The following is a 12,857-nucleotide window of genomic DNA, read 5'->3' on the forward strand; positions in this document are numbered from 1 at the left end:
ACCGCGCCCGGCCTTTTCTTTTCTTTTCTTTTTTTTTTTTTTTTTTTTTTTGGAGACAGAGTCCTGCTCCATCTCCCAGGCTGGAGTGCAGTGGCACGATTTTGGCTCACTGCAACATCCCAGGTTCAAGCGATTCTCATGCCTCAGCCTCCCATGAGTAGCTGGGATTACAGGCACCCACCACCACACCAGGCTAATTTTTGTTTTGATTTGTTTTGTTTTAGTAGAGACAGGGTTTCACCATGTTGGCTAGGCTGGTCTCGAACTCCTGGCCAGAGGTGATCCAACAGCCTCAGCCTCACAAAGTGCTGGGATTACAGGCGTGAGCCACCATGCCTGGCCCAAAATATTTATGTAAATAATATTCATTTGCACTGCTGTAGAAAAGCAGAGACGAGTCCTGGGTTGGAACTAAAATGTCCAATTTCCAGACTTCATAAGTGAGATTCTATTATAAAATATCGTGGAAATTTTTTGCAATGGAGGATCAGAGTTAATTTAATATAAAGGCTGTTACAAATAAGTTTCAGTACACTGGAGTTTGAGGTACAGGGACTAATACCTGGATTCCATTTAAAAGCTACACGACTTATCTGAAAAATAATCTATGTGCTGGGGTTTCAACAATCTCCAGGGAATTCAAAACCCCAAAATTCCCCCAGCTCCTTTAACTCTTGAAGAAAAAAATGAATTCTGCAGTTAGTAGACAAAACTTCCAACTCTTCAGGAAAGGACAGAGGTAAAAAATTAATTCCTGGGAGTGAATGAGGATATCCCTATCAAGCTGATCAAGGCATCAGCCTCTAATAAATAAACAAAAAACAGATCCAAAGTAGACAGCAACACTTTGATACGGAAGATGAAATAAAATACAAAATTCTAGGCCGGGCGCAGTGGCTCACGCCTGTAATCCCAGCACTTTGGGAGGCCGAGGCAGGCGGATCACGAGGTCAGGAGATCGAGACCATCCTGGCTTGTAACATGGTGAAACCCTGTCTCTACTAAAAATACAAAAAAAATTAGCTGGGCGAGGTGGCAGGCGCCTGTAGTCCCAGCTACTCGGGAGGCTGAGGCAGTAGAATGGTGTGAACCCCGGGAGGCGGAGCCTGTAGTGAGCCGAGATCGTGCCACTGCACTCTAGCCTGGGCGACAGCGAGACTCCGTCTCAAAAAAAAAAAAAAAAAAAAAAAAATTCTAGTGCCCGGGTTCAGAATGCAGGTAAGCATACAAAGGAAAACTGAAAACTGTATAAAAGGCATTATATTGCTAGTGTGTATACAGGTCTGCACAACCGTTTCTGCCCAGCAATGTAACATCAGGTTTAAAATGGGGACATGCCCTTTGACCTTGCAAGTCCCATGCTATCAGTTTATCCTAAGAAGTTTCACCCCAGGCCAGGTGTGGTGGCTCATGCTTGTAATCCCACCACTTTGGAAGGCCGAAGCAGACAGATCCCTTAAGCCGACGAGTTCAAGACCAGCCTGGACAACATGGTGAAACCCCATCGCTACAAAAAATAGAAAAATTAGCCAGGCTTGGTGGCATGCGCCTGTAGTCTCAGCTCCTCAGGTGGCTGAAGTGGGAGGATAGCTTCAGCCTGGGAGGTCGAGGTTGCAGTGAGCTGAGATCATGCCACTGCACTCCAGCCTGGGTGACAAACAGTTAAAGCCCTGTCTCCCCCCACAACAAAAAAAGGATGAGGAGGAGGCTCACCCTAGTCACCTATATAAGTGTACCTTGAACACAGCATAAATGTCATACGCAAAATTTAACGAGTTTTGCCAAAATTATCACCCAGAAAGTCACCTTACACCTGAGCTCTTACAAAGTCTTCCAATTACAGAGCATTCTCTCATGAAAACATTTGATTCTGATCAAAGCACTGATTAGGGAAAAATGTTACCTTGAAACAATTTCTATCAGTCTTAGTTCTGTCCTTTATAGGAGGTTAACTGAAGGATTCCATAAAAATGGAGGCAAAGAAATTTAACAGATTTGGTCATGATACATAGGAGCAAAATCTCACATTTTCAACTGCTGCATGTCCGCATAAACAAGCCCTCTAAAGATACCTTTTTTTTTTCTTTTGAGACAAGGTCTTGGTCTGTCGCCCAGACTGAAGTACAGTGGTAAAATCACAGCTCACTGCAGGCGCACCCTCCCAAGCTCAAGCAATCCTCCCAACTGAGTCCCCTAAGTAGCTAGGATTACAGGTGTGTGCCACCACGCCCAGCTGATTATTTTATTTTTGTAGACATGGGGGTCTCACTATGTTGCCCAGGCTGATCTCAAACTCCTGAGCTCAAGCAATCCTCCTGCCTTGGCCTCTCAAAGTGCTGGGATTACAGGTGTGAGCCACTGTGCCCGGCCCCATTTTTTAAATAATAAAGTAAGTTACATTGCAGAGGAAAGAAACATATCCAAAGAAAACTGGTCAGACATGGTGGTACTTTGGGAGGCCAAGGTGAGATGATCACTTGAGGCCAGGAGTTCGAGACCAACCTGGGCAATGTGGTAAGATGCCATCTCTTCAAAAAAATAAAAATAAATTAAAAATTAGCTGGTGTGGCCAGGAGTGGTGGCTCACGCCTATAAACCCAGCACTTTGGGAGGCAGAGGGTGGTGGATCACTTGAGGTCAGGAGTTTGAGACCAGCCTGACCAACATGGTGAAACTTTGTCTCTACTAGAAATACAAAAAATTAGCCAGGTGTGCTGGTGTGTGTCTGTAATCCCAGCTACTTGGGAGGCTGGGGCAGGAAAACGGCTTGAACCCAGGAGGCGGAGGTTGCAGTGAACTGAGAATGCACCACTGCACTCCAGCCCGGGCAACAGATAGAGTGAGACTCCACCTCAATAAAAAAATTTTTAAAAAAAGCTTAATTAAAAAATTTTTTTTTTTTTAATTAGCTGGTGACGGTGTGCATCTACAGTCCCAGCTACTCTGGAGAGTGAGGAGAGGATCACCTCACAGCCTAGGAGTTCGAGGCTGCACTAAGCCATGATCGTGCCCACTGCACTCCAGCCTGGGTAACAGAATGAGACTCTCTTAAAAATAAAATACATAAAATATAAATTTCATTCCCCAATAATCTTAAATATAAAAATATAACTCATTTTTATACATTGACCTGGTATCCTGTGATCTTATGAAATTCTTTATTTTGAAGATTTCTTAAGACTTTTTACATACAAAATCCTGTCTTAAGCAAACATTGTTTTGTTTTTTATTTTATTTTTTTGGAGACAGGGTTTCCCTCTGTCACCCAGGCTGGAGTTCTTTGATATCAGCTCACTGCAGCCTCGACTTCCCAGACTCAAGGGATCCTCCTGCCTCATCCTGCCAAGTAGCTGGGACTACAGGCACACACTACCATGCCTGGCTAATTTCTGTATTTTTACTACAGTCAGGGTTTCAGCACATTGCCCAGGCTGGTCTCGAACTCCTGGGCTCAAGAGATCCACCTACCTAAGCCCCCAAAGTGCTGGGATTACAGGCATGCGCCACCACGCAAGGGGGTTTATGGTTTTTCTCAGCATTTTGAAAGATGTTTCATTGTGTTGTTTCTGTTAAGAAGTCAGCAGTCATTTTTATCTTTGCTCCTCTACAAGTAAAGTGTCTTTTTTTCTGGCAATTTTTAAGATGTTATTTATTACTTGTTTCTAGCAACTTGATCATGATGTGGCTTGGTGTGGTTTTGTGTTTATCAGATTTAAGATTATGAGTTTTTGGGATCTGTGAATTATTTTTCACCAACTTTAGAAATTTTGAGATTATCTTTTTATATTTCTACTGTTTCTCTTCTCTCCCTCCTCCTGTAATTCCAATTACACATACAGTAGACTAGTTGATAATGCCTCACAGATCACTGAAGCATTTTTATTCTGGCTTTTTCCCACCCTGTCTGTTTAAGCCTAGATAATTTCTATTGCCGTATCTTGTAATTCAATGTTCGTTTCTTGTGAACTGTCTAATCTTCAATGAGGCCTATCCAGTAAAATATTCATTGCTAAGATGGTATTTTTTGGTTTCACTTGTTTTTTTTCATAGCTTAAATTTCTCTCATTATGTTTATGTTTCCGAAACTTCAAGTCCCTGCACATATAATTACTATTTTTTTATGTTTTTGAGAGTGACAGGATCTCACTTTGTTGCCCAGGCTCAGACTGATCACAAACTCCTGGCCTCAAGTGGTTCCTCTTGGCCCAGCCTATAATCACTTTTTTCTTTTTTTTTTTCCCGAACATTCATATCATTATATAATCACTTTTTAAAGTCCTTGTTTATTAATTTAAATATCTTTATTATTTTGGGGTCTGTTGCAGTGACTGACTTTTCTCCTGGCAATGAGCCACCATTTTCCTTTTCCTATATCTAGTACTTTTTTAATCGGATGCTGAACGTTGTAGATGTGTCTAGATTTTGCTCTCTTCCTTTGTTCTAGCAGGCAGTTAATCAGCTTGTAGGTCAGCTTGATCCTTTCAAGACTTGTTTTTAAGTTTTGTTAGTATTGGTCTAGAAAGGCCTTTGAGGGCTGATTTAGCCCTAGAGTGTGGCCCTTCTGGGTTCCACACTAATTATGCCAGTATTCAACTTGGTCGTTCCACTCCAACTAGTAGGAGTTGAACATCTCCTACACAGAAAAACTCCAGTAGTTATTCTTTGCATAGCTCACGAAATTTCCCTAAGAAGACACAGCTTTACATTCAGCCAGTACTCACCAGACCCCATATCCCTAGAGCTGTTCCCTCCATTCCAACACCCTTCCCAGCATATTCCAACTACCGCCCCAACTCTGAGCTCTGTCTTCTCAGCTCAGTAGGACCACCACTGCTGAACTTCGTTCTTCCTCTGAGTCAGTCCTATAAGTGATTCCAGGTAGACAGCTGGAATCATTCTAGGGCTCACCTTGTTTCCCATTTTTAGGAATTCCAATCCTATGCTACCTACCTTTCATCCAATGTTTGAACGTTTTTCATATGGATTTTTTCCTCTTTTTCTAGTTGTTTTGGCAACAGAGCTAATCCAGTACCAGTTATTCTATCATGAACAAAAGTATATGTATTTGGCTGGGCACGGTGGCTCATGCCTGTAATCCCAGCACTTTGGGAGGCCGAGGCAGGAGGATCACCTAAGCTCAGGAGTTTGAGACCAGCCTGAGAAACATGCTGAAACCCCATCTCTACTAAAAATACAAAAATTAGCCGGACATGGTGGTGGGAGCCTGTAATCCCAGCTACCAGGGAGGCTGAGGCGGCAGAAGCACTTGAGCCCGGAAGGTTGAGGGTGCAGTGAGCTGAGATCGTGCCCCTGCACTCCAGCCTGGGTGACAGGTGAGACACTGTCTCAAAAAAAAAAAAAAAAAAAAAAAAGAAGTATGTATATTTGACTCTTTTACAGCACTGTTTGCATAGCTTCATATATATTTAAAACTTTTTATTTTATCTTCCCAGATTTATAGAGAAAAGACTATATATACAAGACTGAACATAGTGGTTCACACCTGTAATCTCAGCACTTTGGGAGGCCAAGGCAGGCAGATCACTTGAGCCCAGGAGTTTGAGACCAGCCTGGGCAACATGGCAGAACCCCATCTCTACAAATAATACAAAAGTTAGCCAGGCTTGGCTGGGTGCAGTGGCTCACTCTTGTAATCCCAGAACTTTGGGAGGCCAAGGCGGGTGGATTACTTGAGGTCAGGAATTCAAGATCAGCCTGACCAACATAGCGAAACCCCATCTCTACTAAAGGCACAAAAATTAGCCGGGCATTATGGCATATACCTGTAGTCCCAGCTACTCGGGAGGCTGAGGCAGGAGAATCGCTTGAACCCAGGAAGCAGAGGTTGCAGTAAGCCACGATTCTGCCACTGCACTCAAGCCTGGGTGCCAGAGCAAGACTCCCTCTCAAAATAAATAAATAAAATAAAATAAAATAAAATAAAATAAAATAAAATAAAATAAAATAAAAAATTAGCCAGGCTTGGTGGTGTATGCCTGTAGTCCCTACTACTCATGAGGCTAGAGTTGGGGGAAATCACCTGAGCCTGGAAGGTAGAGGCTGCAGTGAGCCATGATTGTACCACTATACCCCAGCCTAGGCAACAGAGTGAGACTCCGTTTCACTAAAAAAAAAAAAAAAAAAAAAAAAAAAAAAAAATTAAGTTTGGAAGATTATATATCAAAATATTAATATGGGCAGTCCCTGACTGAATGTTTTTCTTACATGTATTAATTTCCTGGAGCTGTCATAACAAAATACCACAAACTGACTTAAAAAAAAACAAGGCCGGGTATAGTGGCTCACGCCTGTAATCCCAGCATTTTGGGAGGCTGAGGTGGGTGGATCACCTGAGGTCAGGAGTTCGAGACCAGCCTGAGCAATACGGTGAAACCCCGTCTCTACTAAAAATACAAAAATTAGCCGGGTATGGTGGCGGGTGCCTGTAGTCCCAGCTACCAGGAAGGCTGAGGCAGGAGAATCGCTTGAACCCGGGAAGCAGAGGGTGCAGTGAACCGAGATCGTGCCACTGTACTCTAGCCTGGGCAACAGAGTGAGACTCTGTCTCAAAAACACAAAACAAAACAAAAAACAAATTAAAAAAACAGAAATGTGTTGTCTCACAATTCTAAAGTTTGGAAGTCCAAGATCAGGGTGTCAGCAAGGCCATATTCCTTTGAAACCTATAGGGGAGAATCCTTCCTTGCCTCTTCCTAGCTTCTGGTTGTCATCATCAATCCCTGCTGTTCCTTGTCTCACAGATTTATCACTCCAATATGTATTTCTGTCATCGCCACATGGCCATCTTCCCTTTATGTCTTTCTCTCCTCATAAGAACAGTCATATTGTGCTGGGTGTGGTGGCTCACGGCTGTAATTCCAGCACTCTCGGAGGCTGAGGTGGACAGATCACTTGAGGTCGGGAGTTAGAGACCAGCCTGGCCAATATAGTGAAACCACATCTCTACTAAAAATACAAAAATTAGCTGGGCATGGTGGCACACACCTGTAATCCCAGCTGCTGAGGCAGGAGAATTGCTTGAACCAAAGAGGCGGAGGTTGCAATGAGCTGAGATTGCACCACTGCACTCAAGCCTGGGCGAAAGAGAAACAGTCATATTGATTAAGGCCCTATCTAATTATCTCATCCTGACTTTATTACATCTGCAAAGACCTCATTTCCAAATAGGGTCACATTCAGGTATTATAGACTAGGACTTCTAAGTATATTTTTGACAGACACAATTTAACCCACAATATGGGTGGTGCTTTCCTGAATTCTCCTAGTATTCTGCATGAATACTACTAGTTAATGAAGTTTTAAAAAATTATAAATGTTTTACTAAAACCCATGAAAGGGTAAATGCCAGGCCTGCAAGAAAAGGGATCAGCTAGGCTAGGATACCTGTAAGTATCTAGCGGGTGGGTGGGGGTTATAGGAAAACTACATAATCAGTTTTCTCCTTCTGTAAGCCCAGGGGTCTTGCTAATCAAAGCATCTTTGACCATGTCAGCTGGCTTGCTATTGTAGGAAATAAAAACAGGACAATGAATGTTAAAGGATTTACTTCTTTTTATTTTTTTTTTTTAAGATAGGGTCTCACTCTGTCGCCAGGCTGGAGTGCAGTGGTACGATGTCGGCTCACTGTGACCTCCGCGTCCCTCTCGGGTTCAGTTCAACCAATTCTCCTGCCACAGCCTCCCAAGTAGCTGGGACTACAGGAGTGTGCCACCACGCCCAGCTAATTTTTGTATTTTTAGTAGAGATGGGGTTTCACCATATTGGCCAGGATGGTCTCAATATCTTGACCTCGTGATCTGCCCACCTCAGCCTCCCAAAGTGCTGGGATTATAGGTGTGAGCCACCGCAACCAGCCAGGATTTACTTCTTAAACCTGTGATTACTCCCATAACATTCTTAGGAAATCCTGCCTTTCTTCTTGGGAGACTGGGACCCACTGGAAAAGGGAAAGGACTGCATTCCTCCTGGCTACACCTTTGTATTTTCTCACTTCTCTTAACATTCTGTGAAGCTTAAATGGGTTTTATTTAGGTAGCTGGGATACAAGCAAGTATGAGGAAAGCTGAAGAATACTGATTACTTAACAAATACAAGAAAAAACTTTTTTTTTTTTTCTGAGATGGAGTCTCGCTCTATTGCCCTGGCTGGAGTGCAGTGCCCTGATCTCGGTTCATGCAACCTCCGCCTTCCGGGTTCAAGCAATTCTCCTGCCTCAGCCTCCCGAGTAGCTGGGATTACAGGCATGCGCCACCACACCCGGCTAATTTTTGTATTTTTAGTAGAGACGGGGTTTCACTATGTTGGCCAGGCTGGTCTCAAACTCCTGACCTCGTGATTCGCCCACCTTGGCCCCCTAAAGTGCTGGGATTACAGGCGTGAGCCACCGCGCCCAGCCAAGAAAAAACATTTTTATTGGCCGGGTGTGGTTACTCACACCTATAATCCCAGCACTTTGGGAGGCCGAGGCAGGTAGATTGTCTGAGCTCAGCCACTGCACCCGGCCAGGAAAAAATATTTTTAAGGTGGCTCAGCTCTTCTCTTCCCACCAAAAATACTAACCAATTCCGTTCCTTTGCTATAACAAAATTCATCAATTTCCCAATAATTAGCCAACAAAAATAGAAAAGGAAAAAAAGTCTTCATATTTGTATGTCTGTATGCTTAACATATTGAGTTTTTACTGTTTTGAGTAATGAAATTACTACACTGTCATATTCAACTGCTAACTGATCAGTTAGCCCTTCTCAAAGCAGAGTTAATTAAAAGGATAAGGCAACTGCTAACTGATCAGTTAGCCCTTCTCAAAGCAGAGTTAATTAAAAGGATAACCTCAGTGTTATTATTTATAATTACATGTATCGGCTGAAATGTGTATTTTCAGCTAAAGAGAAACAATTCCTAAACTACTCTATAAAACCTAAGCAATTAGGCTGGGTGCGGTGGCTCCTACCTGCAATCCCAACACTTTGGTAGGCCAAGGTGGGAGGATAGCTTGAGCCCAAGAGTTCAAGACCAGCCTGGGCAACAAAGTGAGACTCCCCATCTCTACAAAAATTTTTTTTTTTTTTTGAGACGGAGTTTCATTGTTGTTGCCCAGGCTGGAGTGCAATGGCGCGATCTCGGCTCACCACAACCTCTGCCTCCCAGGTTCAAGAGATTCTCCTGCCTCAGCCTCCCCAGTAGCTGGGATTATAGGCATGCGCCACCACGCCCGGCTAATTTCGTATCTTTAGTAGAGAAGGGGTTTCTCCATGTTGGTCAGGCTGGTCTCGAACTCCCAACCACAGGTGATCTGCCCACCTCGGCCTCCCAAAGTGCTGGTACAGGCCTGAGCCATCGTGCCCGGCCACAAAATTTTTTTTAGAAATTAGCCAGGCAAGGCTGGGCGCCGTGGCTCATGCCTGTAATCCCAGCACTTCGGGAGACCGAGGCAGGAGGATCACCTGAGTTCAGGAGTTCAAAAGCAGCCTGGCCAACATGGCAAAACCCCATCTCTACTAAAAATACAAAAAATTAGCTGGGCATGGTGCCAGGTGCCTGTAATCCCAGCTACTTGGGAGGCTGAAACAGGAGAATTGCTTGAACCCAGGAGGCGGAGGTTGAAGTGAGCCAAGATCATGCCATTGCACTCCAGCCTGGGTGACAGAGCAGACTCTGTCTCAAAAAAAAAAAAAAAAACAAAAAAGAAAGAAATTAGCCAGGCATGGTATTGTGCACCTGTTGTCCCAGCTACTCAGAAGGATGAGGTGGGAGGACCATTTGAGCCCAGGAGGTCAAGGCTGAAGTGAGCTATGATCACTGTACGCTAGCCCAGGCAATAAAAGGAGACACTGTTTCGGGCAGGGGAAGCATTAAAGCATCATCACTCTCATCATTTGCTTAAAACACTGAAAGTTAAAGCTATGTTCTGCCAAAACTAAGTAAGTATGCCTGTAATTCCAGCATTTTGGGTGGCCAAGGTGGGAGGACTGCTTGAGCCCAGGAGTTTGAGACCAGCCTAGGCAACACAGCAAGACCTTGTTTCTACCTAAGATTTAAAAAAAAAAAAAAAAAAATTAGCCAGACGCGGTGGCATGCCTATAGTTCCAGCTACTGGAGGGGATGGGGAGGGTCCTAAAGTAAGATGATCAGTTGAACCTAGGATGTCAAGGCTACTGCTCTCCAGATCCTGTCTTAAAAAATAAAAAAGAAAGCATAAACCAAAAATAAAATTCTAAGCCCCCCCAACCAACTGAATGAAGGTGAATCCTTCTCCATTCAGTCAAGTGCATTCTAAAGTAAACCTGAAACACTAGTTCAGGCCATGCTGGGAATGGGTGGTCAGACACGCCTCATTATACTCTCTTCCCTTCAGAATTCTGGCACAGCTAACCAGCATTAACATTAAAACAGAGACCTTAGGACTGACAAAACAGATTACTAGTAGCAATAAGATACAAATATGACAGACAGCAAACCCTGAAAGAAGTATTTCAGGTGTTCTTTAATCCCCCTCCTTTTTTTTTTTTTTTTGGTAGAGACAGAGTCTCTCTGCTATGTTGCCCAAGCTGGTCTCAAACTCCTGGGTCCAAACAATCCTCCTCCCTCAGCCTCCAACAGTGCTGTGATGACAGGCATGAACCACCACATCTGGCCCAAAATATATAGCTTTGACAAATTTTGAAATGGCCCTGCAAAGTTGTCTCTTTAAGTCTTATAAGAAACATTTAACATTTACAGTGCTCGGCTTCAGGCACATGTTGGGGGTGTTGAGGTCTAGTGGGCAGAGTAGACTCTTGGCCAGACAGATGGTTTCTCAGTGGCAGGATGCGAGGGCCTCCATGCACCGGAGATCTCTCCAGCACCAGGAGCAGCCGCTGGACAGCAAGGAGCGGCAGCCTATGGTTAGCCATTGGGAGATCTCCGCCAGGGCCCTGGGTTCTCTGTGCAGACAGTTCCAAAGAAGGCTGCCCCTAAGAGCCGTCAACCTCAACCTCCGGACAGGTACCTCCTAGAAACCCCTAGAAACCAGGGTCAGGGCAGTAAGAGACTCCAGGCTGCAGCTCGCTCAGCTAAGAGCACCCTGGGTGCCATGTCACAGAGAATCCAGGAGTCCTGCCAAAGTAGCACCAAGTGTCTGGTGGAGACCCAGGTGAAGGCCAGGAGGAGGAAGAAAGGGGTACAAAAGGGAGAGCAGTGTCTCCCCAACTCACAGCCTGAGCCAGAAGAGGATTCAGCTGTATGGAGCTGCCCCTGACCACTCAGCTACAGACCCCTGTGCATCACCACCTCTCTACCTGGACAGGCTCACGTGCCTACCCTCTACGGCAGTGGAGGCGGGAGACTGCCTTCCAGAGCCCCTACTCCTTGACAGAGCTCCTCTGCTCTCCCAGCGCATCTGATAGTGACCTAGCACCTATGGGGAGCAGGAATTCGGCATCTCCAGAAGCTGTCCCAAGAGCTGGATGAAGCCATTATGGCGGAAGAGAGTGGTGAAATGACACTCTCATTCATGACTGAGGAAGTGCCCTGCAGGAAACAAGCCCTGTCTGACCACCAAGGCTTCGTACCCCAGAATGTCTGTGCTTCCCCATGAGCTTCCTGGCGGAAGCTCCCAGGAGTCATCAGTACCCCTGGGCCACTGCTAACAAAGACCTGACTAGCAAGGAGCCCAGAGCCCCCCTGCTCCAGCCACATCTGGACCCATCAGTGACTGCCTGCCACAGCCTGAGAGTGTCTTGGGGAGATCTTGCAGAGGTGGGGAGAATTGTTCCTTCTACTCCCCAAGGGGACTCTTGGGTTTAGTAATGCATCGTATACTTGACCTTGAGCCTGGTATTTGCTTCATCTACAATGTGAAGAGCTGGCATCAGATGTTTGAGAGCTCTGAACTCAAACCAGGTGCTTGGTTTTTGGGGAGTCATCCACAGAGTCACTCGCCCACTGTGTTTCCAGTGCCAAGGCCCTTGGGGGCACCACTCTCATCCCTGCTTTCCCTACCAGGGACCTGGAGGAAGGCATAGGAGATAGTTCCAGGCTTAAACCCTGGGCTCACAGGTACCTATTTATATGTTCAAGGCAGAGCACTGTGGGTGTGCCAGGAGGGGTAGCCCTGTTCAAGAGCAATTTCTGCCCTTTGTAAATTATTTAAGAAAACTGCTTTTATTTTATTAGAAAGAAACCAGATAGCATTGCTTTCTTATAATAAAGACTAGATAACACTGCTTTCTCATAATAAAGACTGTTTTGTGGCTGGGCGCAGCGGCTCACACCTGTAATCCCAGGACTTTGGGAGGCCGACGCGGGTGGATCACCTGAGGTCAGGAGTTCGAGACCAGCCTGGCTAACATGGTGAAACCCCGTCTCTACTAAAAATACAAAAATTAGCCAGGCGCAGTGGCAGGTGCCTGTAATCCCGGCTACTCGAGAGGCTGAGGCAGGAGAACTGCTTGAACCCAGGGGGCAGAGGTTGCAGTGAGTTGAGATCGCGCCGCTGCAGTCCAGCCTGGGTGACAGAGCAAGACTCCATCTCCGTCTAGGGGCGGGGGTGAGGAGACTGCATTTGGGGGAAAAAAAAAAATCATTTACAGGCTAGGCTTATAATCCCAGCACTTTGGGAGGCTGAGGTAGGTGGATCACTTGAGCCTAGGAGTTCTAGACCAGCCTGGACAACAAAGCAAGATCCTATCTCTTTAAAAAATAATAAAAATTTTAAAAAAAGAAACATTTGCAATCTGTTCTCTCTGAAACCTGTTACCTGGAGGCTTCATTTGCATAATATGAACCTTGGTCTCCACACCCCTATCTTTTTTTTTTTTTTTTTTTGAGACAGAGTCTCGCTCTGTCACCCACGCTGG

General features: G+C 45.1%; 1 protein-coding gene and 1 pseudogene across 1 annotated transcript in view; one reads left to right on the forward strand and one right to left on the reverse strand.

Moving 5' to 3' along the window:
• MDN1 (midasin AAA ATPase 1) overlaps positions 1 to 12,857 on the reverse strand; it is a 177,297-nt gene that overhangs the window by 161,370 nt on the left and 3,070 nt on the right. The window lies entirely within an intron of this gene.
• PIMREGP3 (PIMREG pseudogene 3) lies at positions 10,766 to 12,247 on the forward strand (annotated as a pseudogene).

The sequence above is a fragment of the Homo sapiens genome, chromosome 6, assembly GCF_000001405.40.
Source record: "Homo sapiens chromosome 6, GRCh38.p14 Primary Assembly".
NCBI classification, from domain to species: Eukaryota; Metazoa; Chordata; class Mammalia; order Primates; family Hominidae; genus Homo; species Homo sapiens.